This window comes from Homo sapiens, chromosome 12, assembly GCF_000001405.40.
Source record: "Homo sapiens chromosome 12, GRCh38.p14 Primary Assembly".
NCBI lineage: Eukaryota > Metazoa > Chordata > Mammalia > Primates > Hominidae > Homo > Homo sapiens.
Genome location: NC_000012.12, coordinates 61,678,186 through 61,705,284, shown reverse-complemented (window position 1 = coordinate 61,705,284; position 27,099 = coordinate 61,678,186). Strand labels below are relative to the sequence as shown.

The window sequence follows — 27,099 nt, the reverse complement described above, 5'->3', positions numbered from 1 at the left end:
AGTAAGGAAGAAGTTCCATAGTAAATCTTACGGGGTTATAACAGGGAAGAAGCACTTGGAGTTAGGCCTTTGGTGACCTTCAACAGAGCAGTGTTGGTAGTATGATAGCTCATGAGTCAAAGAGCAATCATCAGAGTAATGATTAGCACATGGGTGATTAACAGTTTGTGCCTGAGCTACTGAGATTTAGTTAAGTTTTAGCTCCAAGATCATAAACAGATAAATGAGAAAAAATTAAGTTCAGCATCCTTATTTATTTGTAAAATGGAAATGCTTTCACTGTCTACCTTATAGGATTGTTGTGAAGATTCAATGAGTTAATACATTCAAGGAGCTTAGCACAGAATCTAATGGTAACTATTTGTTAAATGGTGGTTCTTTCATTGCAGAAGATATGACAGTTCTGTTTGCTCTTCAATTGCATAAGAATCATGTTGATGGAAAATAATAGATTCATATCATATATGACATAAAAGCGTCTGGGCCAGCTGGTACATGTACTAAATAAGAGAGAAATGTGTGCAGCTGTTATATTTAAATCACCTTTTTTTTAGAATTGTGTGGCTGAAAGGAAAGCAAATGAGTAACCTTAGTGGCAGACTAAGTGAAAATATTTTTTCTGGCAGGAGAGGCCAGAAGAATTTATTGGCCAAGGGCAAACAGTCAGTGGAGAAAGAGAAATTGATTTAAAAAAGGAATAGATCAACATCCTGGAGGAAGAATAGGTGAGGATGGGAATATTAAATGGAAGTGTTAGTGTGAGAAAGGAATATATACTTCTGTTCAATGAGATAAATGAACAAGGATGAGAGAAGCTAGAGAGAAATTCAAAAGTGGGGCCAAGGGAAGTAATGTTTAAAGGCCTCTGGGCTGAGAGAATGACATACACAGGTCTTCAGAAGACAGGATTTATCTATTCGGTTTACAAGGGATGGACTTGGGTTTTCTGCTCTTCCTAATGAGAGCAGAAAATATCAGAAACAAACTTTGGTGATTCTAGACATTGAGAGCCCAAAAGATAGTAAAGGCACAATATAGAGCATTTAATGGGTAGAGATGTGTCACTGTCCATCAGTGTTGCAATCTGGACAGAGCAGGGGTGAAAATGAATAGCTGGCATCATCTTTGTATGAAGATAGGCAAGATTTAAAAAATGGCTAGCCTCTTTTGAGTACTTAACTCTGACACAAGTTCTTTCTATATATTTTACATATATTATTTAATTTACTGTTACTTGAGACAGGCAATATTGTTATTACCATTTTGTAATAAGAAAATTGGGGCATAGAAAGGATAGGTAATTTCCCTAGTGTCATATAGTCAGTAGCAGAGCCAAGACTTTAACATCCATAGTGGTAAATAGTAGGGAGTTAGTATACATGACATTGAAAGGGTATAGCCTGACTCGGAGGGCAAGTAAAATAGATTAATGTTTATGAATCTAGGGAGGGGTAGAGATTAGAAATAGCTTTGAAAATGGAGAGCAGTTTTAACAGGGAAGGGTAATAAGGGAGAGAGATCCATTAATTCATTAACAAATATTTTTGTGTTTCTACTCTGCACCAAAACTGTTTTAGGTGCTGTGAATAAAATATAAGTAGTAAGTTTTACCTTCTTTTCAAATGATAACCCTTCTGGGAGGGGTAATAAACTGAGTTTTTAGCAACTTAGCTTAAGAATCCAGAAAAATTCCATGAAGCACTGGAGCTGCATGGCAGCACTGGAGAGAGAATTGGCTGAAAGTAAAATGGGGAGATTTTGAAGAATAGGGAGGAACATGCTCCAAAAAGAAGCTTACTGTTTTGATAAGGGTAGATCATATTGATAATTATGAACTTCAGTAATGCCTGAGTATTTTTCAGAAGACAGACTTCAATCGGTTTGTATTCTAAGGGTTTATGTTTGATTTTCAACTGGAAGTACAATTTTCTGTCTTTGTGTTTACCCATAATGCATCAGGGAAGATTTGTTAGGGTGTTATAGCAGTTATCTACTGCTATGCAACATGCCACCCCAAAACATGATGGCATAAAACAATAAGCATCTATGATTGCTCCCAAGTCTGCGGGTCAGCTGGGAGGGTCTGCTGGTCTTGGCTGGACTCACTCCCATATCTATTGGTATCTGTGGTTTTGCAGGCAGTTCTGCTGAGGTTGTCTAGATTTTCTCAAATGTATTGAGAGTATCTGGCTGAAAACTGGTCTAGGATGGTCTTACTGGAACAACTTGGCTTGAGAACCAAGTGGTGTCTGATCCTCCAGCAAGCTAGTATGGCTTGTTCTCATAGCAAAAGCAGGGTTCTGAGAAAATGAGTATCGGGAGGCCCGGGTTCAGAACTGGCACACCATTACTTTGGCCACATTCTTTCTTTTAAAGCAGGGCCAGCTCATATCCCTGAAGTGGAGAGACTCCGCTTCTTGATGGAAGTTGCTGCAAGGTCACATTGCAAGGTTAGATATTGAAAAAGACGAAGAATTGGGTCTTTTTTTTTTTTTTTTTCCAATCACTTACCAGTAGTGATTTTATGCTAGTTTCATTCCCTTTAAATACAAAATTTGCTTTTTTATCTGAAAAATGTTCTCAGGCCCATGTGATTTTTACATACAACAATTTAAAATTCTTTCATAGCTCCTCATTGTAAACCTCATAGGAAACCTATACTCTGTATCAAACGTAAATGGCATTCCATTAGCTGGCCTCTGTCCACTTCTTCATATACACTGTGCCTGTGCTACTAACCCATCACACCCAAGTTCCTTTGTACAGTTCTTTAAATGCACCGTTCTCCTACAAACCTCTCATTTGTCTCTGAGGTTGGACTTTACTCCTTCTTCCCCTGGCCTTTCCCTATTCATATACTTAAATTTAAATTATCAAAATCTCTTGACTAATTAATATTTCCACCATAATATTAAGTGTGTGAACATTGAGATGTTATTACAAGATTACTGTTGGTGCGATTGTTTTGAAGGAAAGTTTTCCCAAAGCCAAACTCCCCAAAGGGACTTAAATCAGGGTTCAACAAAGAGTAAGTGATATTAAATATTTAATCTTAATATATATACATATATGTGTATATATATGTGTGTGTGTATATATATATGTGTATATATATATGTGTGTGTATACATATATATATGAGACTGACATTTTATAGTTTGAATTGAAAATATTTTACATGGATTTAAAGTTGCCAATGAGGTGATTATCTGGAACCCATTTTCAAATCCTCTTTTTTTTGTGAAATGATTTGAGACACAGAAAAATACCCCATAGCTTTCCTTCACAGTGCCTGCCTCTGCCAAGTCTCTCCTGACCCCCATAGACAGACTTAGCTGCCACACTCCTGTTGCTTTCCTTTGTAATTGCTTATATGTTTGCTGTCTTTCTAACTTCTGCAAGCCTAATCTCTTCCTCTCAGTTATCTTGTTGTGTAATAGTGCCTGGGATGCAGCAAGCAACCAAGACATTGCTTATTAAAGGAATCATTGCAGGATTTAATATATACTACATAGACACACTTGGTAGTATCTGAGTTTGATTTTTGTTGATTGAGTAACTTATCCTTACGTAGAGATGCTGAATATCAGCTGTTAGAGAATAGTCTGGCAAATGGAACACGATTGTGATTGTGATTTGATGGGCAAATGTCGTGTTAATCTTTTTGTTTTCTGGCTGATAGTTAAATCTCTAGTACTGTACATCAAAAGTGTCACAGCTAAGCAATCTGAGGGATTAAATGACTCCTCATAATTTCTGTGTTGTTAAATAGCAGAAGGATATTATCTAATCACTGTTGTCAGTGTATGCTGGTGAACTCTTATGGAAAACATTTTCTTTTCTACTTTGAAAGCATTAGGAAACACACTCAAATTACATTTTAAAATGTTGTTTTCTGGAGTACACAAACAATCTATTTCAGTGCTATTTCACTGTCAGTCATTTCAAGTATTTTACTATAAACGCCCCAGTAGTGGTCACCTTTTATATTCAGGGCTTGTGTGTGTGTGTGAATTGCTTCTGTGATAACTCTTACAAAATTAATTTTTGAATTATTTGCTGTTTTGTCATGACAGCTACATATGTATGTTGTCGTTATGTCTGAACACTAATAGATGCTTAAGATTTTGTTGGCTTAATTATTTCTGATAGCATTTCTAATGATACTATGTAAAACTCATATAACCCTCTACATTTTACCTCTGGCTAAACATTAGGCCTCCTTTTCTTGTCTCGTGTTTCCCATTAAGTTTTCAAAAGCTAAAAAGGCCCATTTTCTCTTTTAAATGACTCATTATTGGAAACAGTTTCAAAGAGAACTGTGTAGCAGTTAAGAAAGGAAAGGTATGAGATATCTCTTACTGTCTCTTACAGGTTTATTCAGCAAGAATACTTGACTTTCTGTCTCTTACAGGTTTACTCAGAAAGAATACTTGAAAATAGATTACACATAATTACTTCACAAGGAGCTTTTTAAAATCCAATTACAAGATTTCTAATTTAAGTGAAAAAATGGGAAAAAAATAAGCTCCAGTCTCACTTAAATCCATTGTGCTATTTTGCAGAATATCAAGTCCATCTTGGGAGTTTAACTGTGGGAGGACTTTGTAATAGCACTGTCTCCCTATAACAGGATTCCACAGATAGCATTATGATGAGACTCCTGTATGTGTTCATTTAATTTCAGGGGTTGCTGCACTAAACAATAAACCAAATTTGAGAGCCTGAATCCGGATGTATCTTGTCAGTTTCTTTCCCAGTCAGTTCAATCAAATGTCATTCTATTCAATTGAATATACACAGGGTGAATTTCAAGTAAGAGAAAATTTAACTTGAGTGACAGATTTTCTCTAAAAGTTGCTTTTGTTTGATTTCATCTTTTTTTCCTTTCTTTACTGTGAAACCACACAATGAAATGGAAATCAGGATGTCGATTCTGTTGCTGCTGCAGCTTTCTGCTTCTGACTTAGGCTTTTGCATGAGTAAAAGTAGTTGCTTCATATATTCCTCATGTGGATGTGCAGGATGTGCCCTGTACAAAAATCCAGGAAGCACTGTTTACAGAGACCATTATGTGCATGACTACAACTAGAGTTTTATGTTGCCCATCTTGGATGACTGTAAACAGAAGACCGCTGAGCTTCCTCAATTTGAAAGAGGTATTTTCTTCCTGCTTTCTTTCAAAGGAATGCAAAGAATGAGAATGACAGAAGTTTTGATTTGTGATTTAGGCACTATCTGAAGGCACTTTAGGGAATGTGAGCCCTGAACTGATACATTGTGACCCTAGGTACAGAAATTACTTAAATTCTCTGGGCCTTAGTTTTCTGATCTGTGAAATATAAATAATAATATCTGTTCTATTGATGCAGGATTTTTTGCTCCTCAGCTCAGCTAAATCTGGGTTCTTGTCTCACAACGAGGAAAAATTACGCACATGGACACACTAAAAGGTAAGGAGGACAAATTTTATTAAGCAAAAGGAAAGCTCCCAACAAAGAGAGGGGTCCTGCATGTAAGTTTTCACCTCACAAATTGAATACCAGGCCACTACATGCAAGCTGAAGAGGCCAGCCTCCTCCCCTGCCTAAGGAACGATGGTGGCTCCACCTCATTCTTCCAGTGGGCATGCGGGCCATTAGTCTGAGCCACTGCACATTGACTGATTTCCCTTACTGCACATGTGTTAAGGGATGGAATTTTTCACTGTGGGCATGTTTAGGCAAGCCCCCTGTGCACAATGACATCAGTGGGTTGGAGGTTCTCCGGGGACCCTTCCCTATTTGTTTAGGCATTTGGCTATCTCCTGCCTCTATCATTCCCTCCTCTAAAGAAGTACATTTAATTACCATTAGAATAAAGATAAGGAAAAGGAGGAAGACTGATCTTGACCACTTGCTGCTGACAAGGGGCACTGTTTTGAGAAAATGGCAGTCAGATGTCCCTCAGAGGCCTATCTAAGGATCGCTGGTAAAAATGGGCCATCATTTGAAGCTCTGGTTGCATTTGGAGTTCAATGGCCTGTAGGCAAGAAGAGACAAAATAAGTTATTAGAAGACAGGGATCAAAACTAAATAAGGATGGGGGTAAGGACAGCTAAGAAATCTAGAGGATGCCTACACGGCCAGATAACTGGTAGCTATAGTTATACCTACTAAGATTTGGGTGCATGGAGCTTGGCTTTGGCTAGTTCCCTTGGTCCTATTTTCCCAAACAAAGAAACCTCTGGGTTATGGGCACCCTATTTATTCCTATCACCTGGCAGGATTTGTAGGATAATTGCCCAGAACTAGAATATTGATCCAATTTTTATATTACCCATCCCTTTTTTTTCTTTCGAGCTGCAGACAGAGATAGCTAGTTGGTTCACAGGAATAAGCAGGGTTAGTATAAAATGTAGGCAAAAAAAAACAACAACTAATGGGTCTAGAATTTAATGACAAATGTATGACAAGTTTTGACACATAATTTCTCTTTCTCCAGTCCTCATTTTTGTTAAAAACAAATCATAGTAGGACTGAGTTGTTTGCAAAATAAACTTTAGTCTTATACTTGGCCTTATTATTTGCATAAAGTGCATCAAGAATAATTATTTTTATATAGGCTTTTAAAATTCACTTTGATAAAACTCTATTCCACAAGGAATCTCATATAGGACTTTTTAAAGCTGAGCCCAACCATGGGTTTGTACCCTCAAATACTATGAGTTGGGTGAATTCCTCTCTTCTTGAAGTCCCAAGAACATGGGCTTCCTGGTCCTGTTAGAAAGTGGCATTCTTTACCCACCACAGGTTAGGAACTCTGTACAGGGACTGTGTAGACAGGGTATGAGGCCAGTTTTCCCAAGGGGCTTTTATCAGCTCTGCAAGTCAAACTTGATTCCTTAAAATGAAGCATACCCTTCCAGTCAAGGCCTTGGTAAAACAACCAGTTTCTCCAATTGCATCCTGTTGCAAAAGAAAATTGACTCTTATTGCACTAATACAAACAATCATATTGCTATAAGTGAAGAATACTCAAAGATAGTCTACAAATTCTAGAGGAATCAGGCAGAGAGACAAACATGCTCCAAATTTTGTTCACAGAGTATACCTTACTCAATTATTAAAGACTGTAAATAGCTCAACATAAAAATTTCCTTCACTCTGAAAAACAAAACAAGAATCAGCAATGTTTTAAGCAAAAGTTAAAAAAAGATTACTTCAGCTTTCTATTAATTCCATCCATTTCATTAACTGTTATTCTGCTTGATATTCACGAACATTTCAGCTCTTCATGAGTCCTGTACGTTTTTTCTTTATTCCAAAGCCACAATCTCCAAAGTTATCAGAAACCTGCATTTGAGAGCACCTGTCAAAGTTCTATAGATGATTATAAACTATCTTTTGAAGAGAATTAAAACAAGATAAGAATTATCCACAAATAACAAAATGTCCAGAGTAGTTACAGTTAGAAACACAATTGACAAAGGAATTTGTTTTTTTCCTGTGGTTTACAACAACTTAACAACCTTAATTATGATTGATAGCATATACTCAGACATGAGAGTTTTAGAAATTCCATATAACTTTGAAACATACATAATATTATTCACTAAAATATAATCTGAAGATTAAAAATCATTTTGGCAATCCCACATACCTAAACATCTCAGCTAATCCTGTTTGTTTCTCTTCTGGATGCTCTAGGGGCCCTCTATATCATTCAAAACTAGGGGTCAGGAAACACAACCTTGAAACTGAGGTTTGATTTTGGGAAGCCTGTTAAATATGTTAGAGGTTTAAAACTCTAGATATTATGAAATATAATTCCAGATTACCATGTTATTTATTTTGCCAAAATGATGACTCAGAAATTTTAAAACGAGGCCAAAAACCTTTACTCATTAAGAGAGAAGACAGCTTTTCAAACAATTTGTCTCCTGTCTTCTTTTTTGTTTTCCTTGGCAGTCTATCTGCAAGGCGAATGAAAAATTTTCATTATCCTTTACTATTACATGCAAATCTTGTACAAGGGAGAGAAAGCCAAATTTCAATAATAAACGTATTAGTTTATTATTAATGTCAACCCCAACTTTTTTATGAAACCTTATAGAAAATTCTATCTAATCTTAACCAATTTGACCATGAGATAAGATTCTTATAAACATTTTCTAACCCTTTATAAATTTTTGTGAAAGAGCAAATCAGTGCTCTAAGAAAAACCTGCTGTGCTTTTATTCCAATGTTCAGTTCACAGAAAAATAATATCCTTTTAACTTTAGCCAATGTCCATACAGAATTTCTTTTTACAAGATTAATTTTTTAGAAACCTTCCACAACTTGTTTAAACTTTTACTTTTATCTTACATAATTCAACACAAACTTTTGACCCTAGGCAAAAATTTACATTTCTATGCCTTTGTATAATCTTTTACTAAAAAACACATTTTAATTTTCTTACACACCTTGCATGTAAATCTATTTTCAGTGGTCTCAATTACACGTTATAAGGTACCTCTTAACAATTTTTAATTTTAATGTAAAATCTAGTAAGTTGTTTTAATTATGCACTATGTATTAATAAGGTTTGACTCCTACAACCATCGTTAATGGTGTGGTTAATTCCATATGTCCCCAAGCCTTACCAAGTTGTAAGGTAGGCAAGTCGAACAGTTCTCAAAGACCAAAGAAGCAGTTTACAATCTTAAAACATCTAGCAAACCTAGTACCTGACTTGCATAATTTAGACCACCTATTTACATTTTAATGACATCTGTGTTTTGCCAATAATCTTTAAGGCTTTTTATTTCTCAAACATTAAAGTCACATGAACTGAAAGGCATTACAGCTTTTACTTTTCCTTCAAAAAAGTGTTTTTCTTTAAGCCAATTAATTAGAGCTCTTTTTTTATAGACATCACACACAACACATATATAACTACACAAACAGAAGAAGATCCAGTAGTTATAATATTTTTCATTTGCCAGTTTTTTAATTGGTTTATTGGCCTCTGGGTGGGGCCCTTTAAGAGCAGGGCTAGGAAAACACGTAGTTTCTAGCGCCTAATAAACAGGTATAGCTGGAAGATAAAAGCAGATTTTGAGAGGGACCTATTCACCTCTAACTCCCGGAGTTCAATAAAGAAAATAGACATTTCTCCCAAAATGGAATATGTGGTACCTTTTTTGGTTTTCCCAAGGAGTCTCAGGCCATCAGAAATTACCTTAGGGCCTCTCATGGGTGCATTAGGAGTGGCAAGACAAGGTGGAGAAAAGTAATTCAGTCGACTGAGGAAAAAAAAAAAAAAACTTTTTCCAGCAAAACAAAACCCAAGAAGAGAAACATAAAACATAAAGGTCTTTAAGTTATACCCATAATCTGGATATCCACTTTTAATTAAATTGAGCATTCTTTAAGAAAATCCTTTTAAATCCCTTATTATCTGACTTTAGCCATGCCAAGTTGCCAATATTTTTGGCTTTTGAACTTTATCAAAAGTAACCTCAAGTGACACCAACAAGCCTCAATTAAGACATGTGATGCACACCAGATTGGCTACAGCTTAAGGCCAACCTCATAAATCCTTTTTCATTAATCAAAACTTAACAGAGAATATAAACAATGATCCTTATCATTCCTTTTACTAGTTTGCACAAGAAGAGTGGTCAAAATTCTAACTGGTTAAAAAAAAAAAAAAAAAAAAGAAACTTTCATCCTTTTGCCAGCATGTCAGTCTTCTGGGTTTCCTTCCCCAGAGCTCAATTTTAAGCCAACCAGTTTAAGGTTTGGGAAGTTAACTTTTCTCAGTGTGAAGGATGCATCCAAGGGGAGTGTCCTGTAGTACGGGGACACAATTACCATCTGTAAAGAGAGGACAGAGGAGGAAAAAGGAAAAAAGAAGGTGTTTCTTTTCAAAGGAGCCCCAGGTGTTCAGGGTGCATTCAAAAGGGATAAAGACCGAAGATGAATGGCCACTCATCTAGAAAGAGGGGAGCAAGGTGTCCCTAGTTCCTTTCTCTTCCTAGAAAATACCAGGGTTCATGAGGGAAAGAAGGAAAAAACCCTCTTTTCTTCTTCTGTCCTTATATCCCCAAGTCCCAGTGACCTTGACAGGGTGCCACCCATGGGTGCCAATGCAGCTTTCACCCATGCTAACAGGGAGCCTAGTGGGTGGGATTATCCATTTTGACTCATGCGCTGACTTTGTCCCTGCTGTCAGTAGCCTTTGAGTTCCCTGCACTTCATTTGAGCCATGGTTACTAACATGACGTCTATCCATGAAACAGGAGGCTTGGCTTAATTGGCAAGAATTAGTCATGCTCACCTGCACTGTGCCTTTTAACCTTCATTGTCTTCTGCCTCTGGATCCCTCAGATCCAGTTTTCTTTCCTAGGGCTTTGACCCAAAGCTTGGAATTGAGTTTGTGAAAAAAGAACTTCCCCGGGGTGTGCATGGACTCAAGTCCCAGATGTCCCTCACCAGACTGGCTGTTGCCTCCTTATCAATAAGCCAAATGCTGAGGTGAAGCTGTGGGATTGGGTCCTTCTCAAACAAGGAAGAGAAAAATGGTGTCCTGTGAATTGGGGTCCTGGTCTAATAAGACATCTTTCAAGAGAAATTCTCTAGCATAAAAGTTAACTCCTGACAGGGTGGAGAAATAAAAACAGCTTAAGTGCTGGTGGAGAAGATGCCTGGGGGAATATCCTCTTATTCCTACACAAATGAGTTTCTCCAACAGGTGGAGAAACTTTTAATTGCTATCCAACCGAATTGAACCCCTCAGCCAGGGGATAGGGGATGGGAAGACTCCATGAATGCATGGTGGGGGAACATGGGCCAGCTGGCTGCATGGAGCCCAGCCCAGGGCCATCCTGGGTCCCAGACAGTGGCTGTGGCTCAGTCCTGCCCTGTGTGGCCATTGGGTGCCACACACACATGTGGTAGACATGGCCATGCTCCCCAGCTGGGAGGGAGGGTGGGGTGGGGAGCTGCCAGCCACCCATCTGTCATGCAAGCATGCCTGTGGCCATTGTCTCACAACCAAGAAAAACTAGGTACATGGACACATTGAAAGGTGAGGAAGGCAGGATTTATTAAGTGAAAGGAAAGCTAACAAAAAAGAAAGGGGTCCTGCATGCAGGTTTCCACCTCACAAATTGAATACCAGGCAAGGTGAAGAGGCCAGGCTCCTCCCCTGAATAAGGAGTGAATTCCCACCCCATTCTTCCAGTGTGTATGTGGGTCCTTAGTCTGAGCCACTTCACATTGATTTATTTCCCTTACTGCACATATGTTAAGGGATGGAATTTTGTACCACAGGCATGTTTAGGCAAGTCCCCTGTGCATAATGACCTGGGTGTGTTGGAAGTTCTCTGGGGACCCTTCCCTGTTTGCCTAAGCATTTGGCTGTCTCCTGCTTCATCACTATCTACCACCACGGACTATTATAAAGATTAAGTGAAAGATTGGTTGGTTTTCTGCAAAGTTAAAATGCTAGACAAATGTGTTCTAACATTATTACCATTATTACAATGTGCCAGAGAAGACACACAGCTCTTGATGCTCTTTGTGAAATCTGCGTCATATTTTCTATCAGTGAGAGCTATTAAGCTTTGACATTACATTGTTAATTGAAACAAGGTTACACTATACTGTGGCTCTTACAAGTTTTTAATATTATAATAATTATGGACACATTTTCTTTTAAACATTCATAGGTATGAGTAAATATTATAGGTTTATGACACTTTTATGCTATTCTAAGCATTGAATCAGATTATATTTGATCTTTCATTCCCAATTATAAATGAAACTGGCTTTCTTCAAAAGACCAGCTGTAAGTCACTTAGCAGTCTTATTTTAATTAAATATTTACTTCACAAGCATTTATTTGGAGATGTCATGTATGATTTTAAGTTGTCTACAAATTTTAACTCATTTAATCCTCATAGAACTTCATGAAGTAGGTACTCTTACTATCTGCATTTTACTGATGGGGAAATTGAAGCAATCAGCAGTTAAGCAATTTGCACAGGTCCTACAGCTAGTAAATGGTGAAGGAAGATTCAAATCCCTAACATTTGGCTAGAGTCTTGCTCATGGGTAGTAACTTGATATCAGTCATGGAGTTTCCTACAGCTCTGTATAGGAAAATGCTGTAAACCCTGTGAGCAATATGCAATGATGCCTGTAATTTCCTAGGTCATTTGATTTGAATGCTGTACAAATAAGGCCAAGGTTAAAGGCCAGATTCTCAGGAGGAAATTTGTATGTAGATCAATGCTGTTTATTTATCCGGATCATGACTCCTATGGACTAGAAAAAAAATAAAAGAAGAAATGAGCAATATCCAACACTATAAGTGGATTACCATGTGCTCCTTAATGCTGACTGGAAGTCATCTTCGCATATTTGCACAGCGATGATAACACACATGATGTTTTCACAAGCCCAGGTTCTTTCACATCGAACTCATTATTCCTAAATAAATGTTCCCACCTACTATTATTAGTAGGTAAAATCTTCATATAATTTGAACAGACTATCATATGGAGGTTTACATGTCTTTTGTTTAAAGTAAGTGGCTTAGTCATGCTTCACTGTAGCTGTGTTAACACTGTGGTCAAAGAAATTCTATGTTTCTCAGAATTATTGTGTAACCCAGACATAGATACACCAACTCTTTGTATAAATTATTCTTTCAATCTTTGAAATGGGAACTATCTTTGTTATCCGTGATCTACATTAACCATGATTCCTCAATGATTATCATTCAAGTGCTAATTATCATTTGGTGCTGTCATCTATGAGTTCTTTCATTAATTCTCAGAGATAATTTATGTGAAATGGAGATATAAATTCATTAAATAATCTCCTTTCTCATACATATGCATCTGATACCTAATTTTTTCTGTGACTTACACTTCTTTTGTAAAGGAGTAATACTTTTTGAGAGAGCAGATAGAAGTGAAAAAGAAATTTTAAAAGGGTATTGTACAGTAAGATGCACCTACTATAATATCAGAAACTTAATTTATTTAATTTCATTTTATACTTTCTAAATTCATGTGGGAATATGCATAATCATTGTGAATTTACAGGGAAAATTGATTCGGGTATATAAGTAACTATCTCAGGGCTACAAAATGTATACAAAAAAAGCTGAATGTCAAATCTAAGGCTTCTCAAACTCCAAAGTACTTGTACAGTACTTTCTGTTATGTTTTGCAGTTTGCCTTCAACCACCTAACAGCATAATATTACAGCACCTAGCCCAAACATGGGGATTTTGGTTTGCTTTTAAAAGAAAGTAAAGAGATTAGTTTTACTAAAACTTTCCATGTCTCAGTTTATGACTTTCAGTTAATATTTATACAAAACTATACAAATCTACATTTAAAATGCTATGGTCTTTTGTACATTTTTTTACAGTAATTGGCGCTCATTATAGAGCTCTCTGTGTAGTCACATCAATATTTTTAGGTAAACTCTTCTTCAGTTTCAATTGCTTAGTCATTCTTGAACCAACTTTCTTTTAGCCTATAGGAATCCACTGATATCTTTGACTAAGGATTCCCAGAAATAAGCTTTGATCCACTCCAAAACAGAATTGAATCTTTTGCTATATCCAGAACTAATCCACTCAGGATTTCTTTGGAATGGAGAAAATGTGAGAGTTTACTAGAATTTTGAGGGTTGCTTTCACTTAGAATAACAGTTATTGAGGTAAAAGAAACTTATAATGTTTGGCCAGTGGTAATTTATTTCAATATATTTTGCTTATTTCATGGAGGCTATCCTTGAAAGACAAACTATTATTGATGACAAGCTGAGGCCTTTTATTTCCCTGGATTCTTTTATTATAGGTGCAGTGAGGCATATGGCACACACAAGATTCTAACCTGAGTTCTGTTATCATTTCAGTTAGATCCTTAATAATATTTTATACAGTAAGCGTATGCAGTAAAATATATTAACATGTTCTAATCACAGATTCATATCAAGTATAAATAATTAAAATTAGATTTGTAGTTAACTTGTTCACTTTTAGGAAATCTATACATATGTAAATATTGCTTGATCCAAAATAATAATTACAGATTTTCTCTTCCCTTTTTAGACTTTCTCTCTAAGTAATGTCATCCATGCTGATGACTCCCCAAATGTGTATCTTCAGCCCTGATCTTGCCCTTGAATGCCAATTACATTACTCCAACAACCTACTTGACATCTCCACTCAGATGTCTAACACAATATGGACAAAATAGAACTTTTGATTCTGTCTCAACCTCCAAGCCTTCTTTCAGTTTCCACTAATTTTGTAAATATAATCAACATATGCTCAGGTTTTCATGTTAAAAACTTAGAATCATCTTTGATTCTGTTCTTCTTTTCTTACCTGCACATCAAATTCATCAGCAAGTATTATTAACTCTATAGCTCCAAATACTCTGCATTTAGTTTTCCCTATTTCCTTTCCTGTCACCTCAGTCCTATTCACCATAATCTCCTACCTATACAAATGAAAAAGTTTCTTAACTAATCAGCCTATTCCTATTCCTACCCTCCATTCTCCAGACAATAGTCAGAATGGATTTTTCAAAATATAAATCAACCTTTCAACAAATGGTCTTGGGGCATTTGGATATTCATAGGCAAAACAGACAAACAGAAAATCTTAACCTAAACTTTCCACTTATACAAAAGCTAACTCAAAACAGATTATGGACTTAAATGTAAGATGTAAAACTGTAAAGCTTTTAGAAAACTATGGAAGAAAATATTTGGGATATAATTGCAGGCACATACTTTTTCGACTTGAGACTAAAACATGATTCATAAAAGGAAAAAATGCTAACTTGGACCTCATCAAAGTTAAAAACCTTTGCTTTGTGAAAGACTATATGAAAAGGTTGAAAAGACAGGCTACAAACTTGGAGAAAATATTTTTAAACCACATATCCAATAAAGAACTAATGTCTAGCATATATAAAGAATTCTCAAAAACCAACAGTTAAAAACCAAGCAATTCAAGTAGAAAATGGACAGAAGACGCATGAATAAATATTTCACTGAGTAGAATATAAATATGGCAAATAAGTGCATGAAAGCATGTTCAAAATCATTAGCCACTAGGGAAATGCAAAACAAAAAACAATGAGATATTACTACAAAACAATTAATATGGCTAAAATGAAAAGTAGTTGCCTAATTTACATTCCCAACAGTGTAAACATGTTCCTATTTCTCTGCAAGCTTGCTAACATTTGTTATTTCTTGACTTCTTAATAATCGCCATTCCGCATGGGGTGAAATGGTATCTCATTGTAATTTTGATTTGCATTTCTCTAATGATCAGTGATGTTGAGCTTTTTTTCATATGTTTGTTGGCTGCATGAATGTCTTCTTTTGAGAAGTGTCTGTTCATGTCCTTTGCCCACTTTTTAATGTTTATTTTCTTATAAATTTGCTCAAGTTCCTTGTAGATTCTGAATATTAGACCTTTGTCAGATGGATAGATTGCAAAAGTTTTCTCCCATTCTGTAGGTTGTCTGTTCTTTCTGATGATAGCTTCTTTTGCTGTGTAGAAGCTCTTTAGTTTAATTAGATCCCATTTGTCAATTTTCATTTCTGTTGCAATTGCTTTTGGGATTTCATCATAAAATCTTTGCCTGTGCCTATGTCCTATATACCTGAATGATGTTGCCTAGATTTTTTTCTAGGGTTTTTATAGTTTTGGATTTTACATTAAAGTCTTTAATTCATCTTGAGTTAATTTTTGTGTATGGTGTAAGGAAAGGTGTAAGGAAAGGGTCCAATTTCACTTTTCTGCATATGACAAGCCAGTTCTCCCAGCACCACTTATTAAATAGGGAATCCTTTCCCCCGTTTTTTTGGTCAGGTTTGTCGAAGATCAGATGATTGTAGGTGTGCTGTATCATTTCTGAGATCTCTATTCTTTTCCATTGGTCTATGTGTCTGTTTTTGTAAAAATACCATGCTGTTTTGGTTACTGTAGCCTAGTAGTTAAAGTCAGGTAGCATGATGCCTCCAGCTTTGTTATTTTTGCTTAAGATTGTCTTGGCTATACAGGCTTTTTTCTTTTGGTTTCATATGAATTTAAAAAGAGTTTCTTCTAATTCTGTGAAGAATGTCAATGGTACTTCACTGGAAATAGCATTGAATCTATAAATTACTTTGGGCAGTATAGTCATTTTCATGGTATTGATTCTTCCTCTCCATGAGCATGGACTGTTTTGTTTGTGTCCTTTCTTATTTCCTTGAGCAGTGGTTTGTAGTTCACCTTGAAGAGGTCCTCCACTTCCTGTGTTAGCTGTATTCCTAGGTATTTTATTCTTTTCATAGCAATTGTTAATGGGAGTTCATTCATTGTGGAAGACAATGTGGTTGTTCCTCAAAGATTTGGAACTGAATATATCATTTGACCCAGCAGTCCCATTACTAGGTACATACCCGAAGGAATATAAATCATTCTATTCTAAAGATATGTGCACGTTCATTGTAGCAATATTCACAGTAGCAAAGACATGGAATCAACCCAAATTCAGTCATTAATGGTAGACTGGATTTAAAAATGTACATATACACCATGGACTACTACACAACCATAAAAGGGAACAAGATCATATCCTTTGCAGGGACATGGATGAAGCTGGAAGACATTATCCTCAGCAAAACTAATGCAGGAACAGAAAAACAAACACCTCATGTTCTCACTTGTAAGAGGGAGCTGAATAATGAGAACACATGGACACATGGAGGGAACAATACACACTGGGGCCTATTGCAGGAGGGTGTGGGTGTGGGAGAGAATCAGGAAAAATAGCTAATGCATTCTGGGTTTAATACCTAGGTGATAGGTTTATAGGTACAGCAAACCACCATGGTACACATTTACCTATGTAACAAACCTGCACATCCTGCACATGCACCCCAGAACTTAAAATTTAAAAAAATAAACAAAAATAGTGGCAATACCAAATGAAGACTGTATCAATTCTGTTACTGTCATAAATGCCTAAGTCCAAACTGGGTACCGGCATGTAGTTAAATAAGTAAATGTATATACTAGTAGGCAGCACTGAACAATGTATGGTGGAAGGAATTATTGACTTGTTCTGTCTAGGAGTGTCCTCAATATATTTGTGAATGGGTAAATTGATGAGTAGATACATGTCTGTAGGTGGAATGCAGAATAAATTACAGTTGCACAATCATTACGTCTAAGGATCAGGAAGGATAAAGGGGATGAAGAATCACATCTCACTATATTACATCTCTCTACTACCTTGTCTCAAAAGTGTTATGGTGTCCTTCCTTGAATGGAGAAGAAGCAGAACTATAGATTGGTAACTGTCTTATTGAAAAAAGCTTATCTGGCAAAACCTCACAAGAATTCAGAGGAGCACACAACACTCAGAAACACAAGAGAGCTTTATAAATGAAGGAAAGCTAAATGCACTGGATGCAAAAGTCCTAATGACTCCTTTCATAGACTCGTGGAATTAAGCTTAGGGGCAGAGAAATATTCACTATGGAATGAACAATAGAATGTATGTATCAAATTCTGACAGAAATTTTGCCTTGTTTATCATTATCACTGTCAACTCAAAGCCTGACATTTACGCCAGATAACTCAGTCGAAGTTGCAGTCAGGGATGATGATTTTTCTAGCCTCTGCTGCCAAGTATTCCTGCTGTTTTGCCTAGAAATCATGGCAAAGGGACTAGAAAACAGTTTCCATATGCCACAGTTGCTTGAATTATTCCTCAGATTCTCTTGTCATTTTTCATACGTAGGAACTCATTAGACACCTAGCGGAAGAACATATGGAGGGGAACAATGATGCTATTGGTAGAAAATGCTATATAATAGACACTATATTTATATTCTATAAAGTTCTTGCTGTAAACAGCTTACTAGAAACAGCAAAGGCTTCTTTTCCATGCATTAGGGAGTGACGTAATTATCACTGTCTTAGACACAAACGCAACATATTCTCTATTGAAACAATACATTTACTTGCCTCCTGGACAGGAGGGTTGTCATCTCTAATGATTTTTTTCCAATAAGAGTCTAGTCAGTGAGTTTCATAATTCAGAAATCATAATTCTTCTGCAGAAGAGAGGATGCTGCTGAATTTCCTGTAGCTATGACCTCCCTCAGTGGAAGAATTCTTACTTTAAAAAGACAAGTGTCTAGCTTAGCAGTTCAGAGCTTGCAATCTGCAATCAGAAAGACCTGGGTTCCAGTTTAGATCCACTGCTTGGTACAAGTTATTAATGGTCTCTAAGTACCAATTTCTTCATCTTTAAAATAAGGCCAATGACATCAAATTCAGCAGTTGCGAGAATTTAGCAAAATAATTAAAGTCAGGCAGGTTCTGATAGGTAAGTTGTTATCATCCTCATTATTATTATTGGGCAGTTTCACAAACAATACATTTATTTTAAAAGTACTTTTGTTCTACTAGGATAAAAGGTAAAATAAGGGGATATTCAGATAATGGAAACTTTTATTTCTTCACCAAAATTAAAATCACCAGAGAAAACAGGTATATATCCAGGTTCAAATCAGTTAAACTAAAAGCGTTGAAATTTAATTCAATTTTTCTTGTTACTGAGGGTTTGCTCTCTACTACTTGTGAGATTTTTAATATATTATTGTCATCTAATTGTATAATATTTTGATATACTATTGTCATTGTCATCTATATATAAAAACTGACAGGAATATTTATGTATTATTTACATAATATTTATATAATATTTCCGTCTGTTATTTCACCAGGAGATGTTTCTTTTGTGTATCTTGCTGTTTTGGTAGTCACCTGTTTGCAGTGGCACCATTGGTAAGGAAGACCTGTTCTGAAGTGTAATACAAGAGCCCGTTTGGTTTTGAGTTCTATTATTTAAAGTCCTTGGCTTTCTCTCTGTCACCAATGTTAATGGAAAGTTTTCTGTAAGAACAGTAAATTCATTTGAGATATGATGACAGGGAAAGAATCCAGATTCAAAAACCAAGCATTCATGTAATTTTTGTTTAGATAGAGTCTTGCTCTGTCGCCAGACTGGAGTGCAGTGGTGCAATCTTGGCTCACTGCAACCTCTGCCTCCTGGGTTCAAGCAATTCTCCTGCCTCAGCCTCCTGAGTAGCTGAGACTACAGGCATGCACCACCACTCCCAGCTAATTTTTGTATTTTTAGTAGAGATGGGGTTTCACCATGTTGGCCAGGCTGGTCTCACACTCCTGACCTTGTTATTCACCTGCCTCGGCCTCCCAAAGTGGTGGGATTACAGGCGTGAGCCACCGTGCCTGGCCAACTGTTTATAATATTTAATAGATCTGCAAATACTAAAATTGCAAGGACAAACTGTACCTTTAACTCACACTGGGCTTCTTCTAGGGTACCAGTGGACTGGATAATAAGTTTTCTTTTCTTTTTTTAGAATCTATCTTCAAGAAGCTGAGAAAGCAGAAACCTGGGAATTAATGGATTCAGTATTATAAATGTAAGTCTGGATAAGAAGGGATGTGAAAAATAATTTTCTATGATTGTATGCTTTGATCAGATTATCTGGGCATTTACCACCTTTCCACTTTTGTAAAGCTTTGTAGGGACAAGTCATAAGCAATTATGCCAGAAGACAAAACTCATTTTGTTTCCTTTCCTGTGGAACAGGTTGAAACGATAATTGCTTCTGGTGTCTTACCATGTAGATGAGTCTTGATAATTTGAGGAAATCGGATTTTTCTATTTGTCAATCTAGTCTATGCAAAAATATGTATACTACAGTAGACCTAAACATTAACCTGGAGTTTTAAATCAATCCAATAGTAAACTGATAATCATGATATTTGTTATGTAGAGACAAGGCAATCGAAAGTGACACAGGGGCTACTTCATCAGGGACCATAAGTCCAGAGAAAGAATGTCATCTAAAGAAAGATAGTTAAACAGTCATCAGTGGCTTTATTTACACATGCCAAGTAAAATAGAGAATTTAATTAATGATTCAAATAGTTGAAGCTAAGAAGAAGCTTATTGCATCTTTTGCTTTTCTGGTATACATTGGCTTGATAAAGACAATGAAATAATTGTGTAGAATACAAGAAACTGAACATTGCTTAGCTGAGAATAAAGGAATTTATAATTTTGTAATATTGAGGTCAAACAATGCTGAAGGCTGATTTTTATGTTAAATAACTTTTTTCTATAAAAGAGTAGTTGTACTTAAAATTTATAGCATTGCTTATGGAACCAAAAAAGATAATACAGAGGGGAAAATGTCAGGATATCCATTGGCTCTATTATAGTATAGCAGCTTATAGCTGTTTTATGGATTTATTGTAATAGTTTTAAAAGGTCACTGAAATATGAAGACAATTGTCAGGCTTGGCTCTTTAAGAATTTGCTTTCAGCAAAGTATATCAATGCTTATGTTGATGGAACTTCCAGGTTCAACCCTAGGCTGATGGTTACATCCATACTTATTCAATTTTTTTACCCTTTTACTCTGATCTGGTTTGGGATAAAACCCCAGTTCAGTCTGGGACTGGCCCTGCCAGTATCCTGCCCAGACATAGCCCCTCCACAAGGCACAATAAGGCCCAGGAAACAATATACTTCATTTTCGAAAGGAAATTCTGGTTTCATTTTTGTTACATCCTATCCTGGCTTTGTTATCAGGGTGATACTGGCTTCACAGTCAGAGAGGATTCTCTCTTATCTCTTGGAGTAGTTTTAGTTTAATTGATAGCAATTCTTCTTTGAATATCTGGTGGGATTTAGCTGTGAATACATCTGGCCATGGGCTTTTGTTTTTGTTGGCCTTTTTTTTTTCATGACTTATTTTATCTCACTGTTTGTTATAGATGTTTTCAGGATTTCTATGTCTTCCTGATGCAAGCAAAGGAGCATTGTGTGTTTCCAGGAATTTATCCATTTCTTCTATATTTCCCAGTTTGTGTGTGGAGAGGTGTTCACAGTGGTCTCGAATGATCTTTTGTATTTCTGTGGTGTCAGTTGTAATGTCACCATTTTCGTTTCTATTGGAGTTTATTTGAATCTTCCCTCTTTTTTAGTTTAGTTAATCTATTAATAGATAGCGGTCTATTAGTTTCATTTATATTTTCAAAGAACCAACTTTTGTGGCATGGATCTTTTGTATTTTTTTCCTTCTGTTTCATTTCATTCTACTCTTATCTTTGTTATTTCTTTTTTTTCTGCTAGCTTTGGGTTTTGTTTGTTCTTGTTTCTCTAGTTCCTTGAGGTGTGATGTTCCTTGATTTGTGATCTTTCAGACTTTTAGATGTAGGTATTTAGTGCTATAATCTTTCTTCTTAGAGCTGCTTTTGCTGTATCTCAGAGGTTTTGATTACTTGTGTCACTATTATCATTCATTTTGAATAATTTTTAAATTTCTATATTGATTTTAATGTTAACTCAAAAGTCATTCAGGAGCAGACTGTTTAATTTCCATATATTTGTAGTTTTTGGGGTTCCTTTTGGAGTTTATTTCTAGTTTCATTCCACAGTGCTCTAAGAAGATACTGGGTGTGATTTTGATTTTTAAAAATTTATTGGGATATGCCTTGTGGCATATCATATAATCTATCTTTGAGAATGTTCCATGTGTTAATGAGAAGAATGCATATTCTGCAGTCCTTGGGTAGAATGTTCTGTAATTATCTGTTAGGTCCATTTATTCTAGAGTGCAGATTAAGTCCAGTGTTTTCAGTTTATTGACTTTCTGCCTTGATGATCTGTCTAGTGCTTTCTGTGCAGTGTTGAAGTCCCCCACTATTGTTGTGTTACTATATATCACTTTTCTTAGGTCAAGTAGTAACTGTTTTATGAATCTGGGAGCTCCAGAGATAGCTGCAAATATATTTAGAATTGTAATATCTTCTTGTTGGATTGATCCTTTTATCATTACATAATGACCTTCTTTGTCATTGTTTCTGCTGTCACTTTAAAGTCTGTATTATCTGATATAGAATAGCTATTCCTGCTCACTTTTGGGTTCCATTTGCATAAAATATCTTTTTCCGCCCTTTTGCCTTGAGTCTAAAAGAATCCTTATGTGTTAGGTGAGTCTCTTGAAGACAGCAGATATTTACTTTGTGATTTTTTTTAATCCATTTTGCTAAAGACTTAAATATATGACCTGAAAACGTAAAAATTCTAAAAGAAAAGCTTTTCTGGACATTGGCCTAGGCAAATAATTTATGACTAAGACTCCAAATGCAAATGCAACAAAAATAAAACTAAATAAATGGGACTTGATTAAACTAAAAACTTCTGTAAAGTAAAAGAAATAATTATCAGAGTAAACAGACAACCCACAGAATGGGAAAAAATATTTGCAAAGTATTTATGCCATAAAGGACTAATATTCAGACTCTAGAAGGAACTCAACCCAATCAGCAAGAAAAAAGCAAATTATTCCATTAAAAAGTGGGCAGATGACATGATTAGTCATTTCTCAAAAGATCTACAAATGGCCAAAAATCATGAAAAAGTGCTCAATATCACTAATCATCAGGGAAATGCAAATTAAAACCTGAACGAGATACCATCTTACCCCAGCCAGATTGGTCATTATCGGAAAGTCAAAAGTAATAGATGTTGGTGTGGATGTGGTGAAAAGAGAACACTTATACATCAGTGGTGGGAATGTAAATTAGTACAACTTCTATGGAAAATGGTATGGAAATTTCTCAGAGCACTAAAAGTAGATCTACCATTTAATCCAGCAATCCTGCTATTGGATATCTACCCAGAAGAAAAAAAGTCATTCTATCAAAAAGACACTTGCACATATATGCTTATCACAGCACAATTCATAATTGCAAAGATATGGAACTAACCTAAGTGTGCATTAACTGACGAGTGGTTAAGAAAATGTGGTATATATACAGTATCCTATGCAGCCATAAAAATAATGAAATGATGTCTTTTGCAGCAACTTGGATGGAGCTGGAGACCATTATTCTAAGTGAAGTAACTCAGAAATAGAAAACCAAACACCATATGTTCTCACTTTTAAGTGGGAGCTAAGCTATGGGTATGCGAAGGCATACAGAACGGTATAATGGACACTGGAGAGTCAAAAGCAGCCGACTTGGAGGGGATGAGGAATAATATTGGGTATGATGCACACTGTTCAGGTGAGGGATGCACCAAATTCTGTGGCTTAATCACTATGCAATTCATCCATGTAGTTAAAAACCACTTATACCGTAACAGCAAATGAAATTACAAAAAAGAAATCCTCATTTCAAAAAAGTTCTCTTATATTTTCTTCATAAGTATGCTTGTATGTGTCACACTATGCCACATTATTTTTAATTTGGTAAATAAAATCACCACTGATATATACCGGTAAATAAATATTTAAACTTCAGAAACCACAAATATATATAAATAGAACACAGGCAAATTTAAAAATTTCATCTCTTGATTTTCCAGTAGGTGGTTCTGGATTTTTCAGTGCTATGGCTAGAGGCTTATGACATTAACTTTGTTTTTATTGTATTTTAAATGAAGGAAAAGAGTAGTAAGTCTAAATGGTAAGATGTTAAAAAAAAATCCTATTAACCCAACATGTGAGGATCTGTGAATGTGTGTGTTTCTAAAATTAGAGAGAAACTATAAGCTTCCTATGCATAGGCAATAAGCTATTGGGAAGAACTGTTTTGGACAGGGATTCCTAGCTGAAAAATCAGGTGTTACTGGAAATTCCAATGACAGGTGAGCAGTGCTGTATAAGTCTGTTCTCATGGTGCTAATACAGATGTACCTGAGACTGGGTAATTTAAAAAGGAAAGAGGTTTAACGGATTCATATTTCCACATGGCTTGGGAGGCCTCATTATCATGGTGGAAGGCAAAAGAGAAGCAAAGGCATGACTTACATGCCGGCAGACAAGAAGGCTTGTGCAGGGGAACTCCCGTTTATGAAACCGTTGGCTCTCCTGAGACTTACTCACTATCCTGAGAACAGCACAGGAATGACCCGCCCCCATGATTCAATTACCTCCCATTGGGTCCCTCCCACTACATGTGGGAATTACGGGAGCTACAATTCAAGAAGAGATTTGGGTGGGGACACAGCCAAATCATATCAATTCCCTTCTGTGTCACCTGTCACAAAGATGACTTAGCTTGTATCTAGAGTCCGTGTGTGGGATTTCAGATATTCCCTACTTGCCTGGCACCTGAATTTACTAAAAGGGTCTCTATTGCATCCATCAAAACAAGTTACTCTGTTACTATTCCATGAAGCAACTCTGTTTGCCTAGTGAGGTGTCACAAGGCATATTCCTAATCACTTCACCTCAGCACCTTTTTTCATATTTCTTTCACTTCCAGAAAAATTTTATACAACAACTAAATAGCTCTTGAACTTCGACTTTGAGGCACGCCAAAGTTTAACTTAATTTTAAAGCAATAATCACCACATCATTGAAAGTGTGATGGGAAATGTTAATGCATCAAAGCAGGAACACATTACATTTCATTACATTTAGGAAAAGTCTGTTTGCTAGGCAATAAACATTAAGACTGAGAGTTCTAATTTTTTACAAAAAGCGCTCTAATTTTCTTTGTTGGATCATGCAGTATTTCTCACATGGGATTTAAATGTCAATAGCATTGAGGTGGCAGTTTAATTTCTGTTCAAATCATTAAAATGAAGTCTTTGCCCCAACTAAAAATTATAAAATATTCTACATTTTTGTGACTCAAAGTGATCTAAAAATTAACTTCACTTTATATAAAGTGAAGTGCTGTCATTTCCTGGAGTGGGCAAAAAATAATAAGGACAATATTTAAAAATGTAATAGTTATGCCAAATTGCACTTTAATAAAATTACGTGTTTAATTCAGGAAAAAAATCCCGCTCCAGTAATCTGTATATTAAAGAGGCATCATTATTTTCTAAGTTTCTTGGCCTTTATTTATGTTTATCTAATGTCTATTTTGGATAGCAGAACTTCCCAGATATACCAGATTGCCTAATTAAATGGTTTTATAATACCTATTATAAGATATTAAAAAATAACAACAACAAAGCAAAACCTAAACCCTGAAGAATTCCTAGAAATTATACTAAAGGTCAATAGCAAACACCTCACCTATTTTTTTATTTTAGCCACATTCTTTTGTAAAAGTTCCCAGAGTGACATCAATAATCTGCATAATGTAGAGAAACTATGATTTCTTTTTTCTTTATTTTCAAAAGTATGTTTTATTGTAATAGAGTATTAAAATCTCCAAAAAGAGTTTCTTTGATTTGTCTCAATGCTGGAATATTATTTAAATATATTTTGTTTGGTGAATAGATATAAACTTGTTCAACTCATTCACAGTAAAAGCTCTGGTGCCTTAAGCTGCTTTTCCCAGTTACAGGACTGTCAAGGTGACTTCTCTTTCTGTTTCAATTGCTCAGCTTTGCCATCATTTAACCATTACAGTGATGGAAGGCTTGCACTACACTTATTTATGTAGGGTGACATTTCAGGAGAGAGAAACCTCCCCCATTGAGTGTGGAAGGAAATGTTAAGTAATGGATACAAAAAAGATGCCATAAAATAATGAAATGAACAGATTACATTTTGAAAGAAGATTTGGAAATCACGAAATGTCAATTATTCCTGATAAGTGGTGAATCATTACCAGTGACTGTTCTGTGCTTAGCTTGCTTTCCGCCATTTTGTCTGAGGCACTAGTTAGAGACTCTAGTTTTTGCTTTGTAAGCTGGTGACATTTTTCCTCATGCCCTTGAAAATAAGCAAGTAATGGAGCCTTTTAGATCTGTTTTTGCATGGCGTTTAACTTGAAATACAATAGAGGTAGAGATGACATTTGGAATGGGCTAATATATTTTGTTAAATGGCACTTTCAATAAGCTCTATAAGCGTCATTACCAGTTTCCCAGGCATAGGGAGTCTCAGATGTTTTGACCATCAGTCACCGCTGAAACATACAGGAAAACATAATCTTGAAATGCTTTAGAAGTGTACATATTTACTATCAATTTAAATACTAATGAAAGACATTCAGATTGTAGACCTGTGAAGAGACTGCAGCAATATTTTACAATAATTTATAACAATGGTCAAGATTGTTCTTAAACCCAGGGTCAATCAGAGTGTAAACAACAGTAAATAACTGTCAAATGCTTTTTGGCTGCTTACCGTGTGCCAGGTACTGTGCTAAGTGCTTTCTGCATATCCTCTCTTTTAATCCTCAAATCATACTATAAAATATGCACAATATCCCTTTTACAGATGAGAAAACTGAGCCCTAAACTGTTTAAATAACTTGGCTGGATTCAAAACTAGCAAGTAGTGGGTACATACTGGCCTGTCTGCAAAGCCTTTATTTTTAACCAGAATATAAGGGGTTTGCTATGCTCTTTTCCTCACTGTGTTCTTCTACTTAACATAAGAAATACTGATATACAAATAAAACTGTGCTAGAAGACATTGATTTTTATAGGTATAAAGGAGCAGTTTCTTGCCAGTGAAATGAACTTAAAATCCTAAGAAATACTGATAGAAGTGTCTTTTAAAATGGTGCTGTCCTGTTTCTATACAGCATTCCAAAGATGCTGCCACTGCTCACAGGTCAGAAGAGTTATACAGTCATTATATATATATATATACACATATATTTAGAATAACCTATTCTCTTTATTTGTATGTTGCTGAGATCAATGTGATGGGAAACTAAGAGAGTAGTACCTGGATTCTTATGACTTTCAAATGATCTAGTTCAAAAGAGTCATGTTAAACATGCTCTTTGAACTCTGCTTTTGGATATATTGCCATAAGATTAATATTATATTCCCTCTTTTCCCAGATCAGGAAATCCTGAGAGTTGTCATGAAACCCTCTGCCACATTTCCAATATTTTATTAGTAGGGAAATAGTGAAAATGAATGGATCTGACAGACACAAGCAATTGAGAGTATGGCCTGTAAGTATGTGTTCATGAAAAAACATCCGTTACCAGTCATTGCACAAACTAGATCAAATGAATTACATAATATTTATAAAACTATTAATAAATGACAATCATCCCTCCAAA

General features: G+C 35.8%; 1 long non-coding RNA gene across 1 annotated transcript in view, besides 1 other annotated feature; it reads left to right on the top strand.

Moving 5' to 3' along the window:
* Window positions 1-2,517: 2,517 nt before the first annotated feature.
* LOC105369793 (uncharacterized) overlaps window positions 2,518-27,099 on the top strand; it is a 39,321-nt gene continuing 14,739 nt past the window's right edge. Inside the window, exons 1-5 of the long non-coding RNA XR_945013.4 lie at window positions 2,518-5,453; window positions 18,792-18,852; window positions 19,452-19,514; window positions 22,971-23,175; window positions 26,872-26,988. This is a non-coding gene — a long non-coding RNA (uncharacterized LOC105369793). The remainder of the gene's footprint in view (window positions 5,454-18,791; window positions 18,853-19,451; window positions 19,515-22,970; window positions 23,176-26,871; window positions 26,989-27,099) is intronic.
* Window positions 4,826-6,025: an enhancer, noted in NCBI's record as "MED14-independent group 3 enhancer chr12:62093041-62094240 (GRCh37/hg19 assembly coordinates)". NCBI's record gives its function as "activates an origin of replication core promoter dependent on BRD2, BRD4, P300/CBP and CDK7 cofactors, and independent of MED14, by STARR-seq in HCT116 cells {active_cell/tissue: HCT116}" and the evidence as "EXISTENCE:reporter gene assay evidence [ECO:0000049][PMID:35650434]".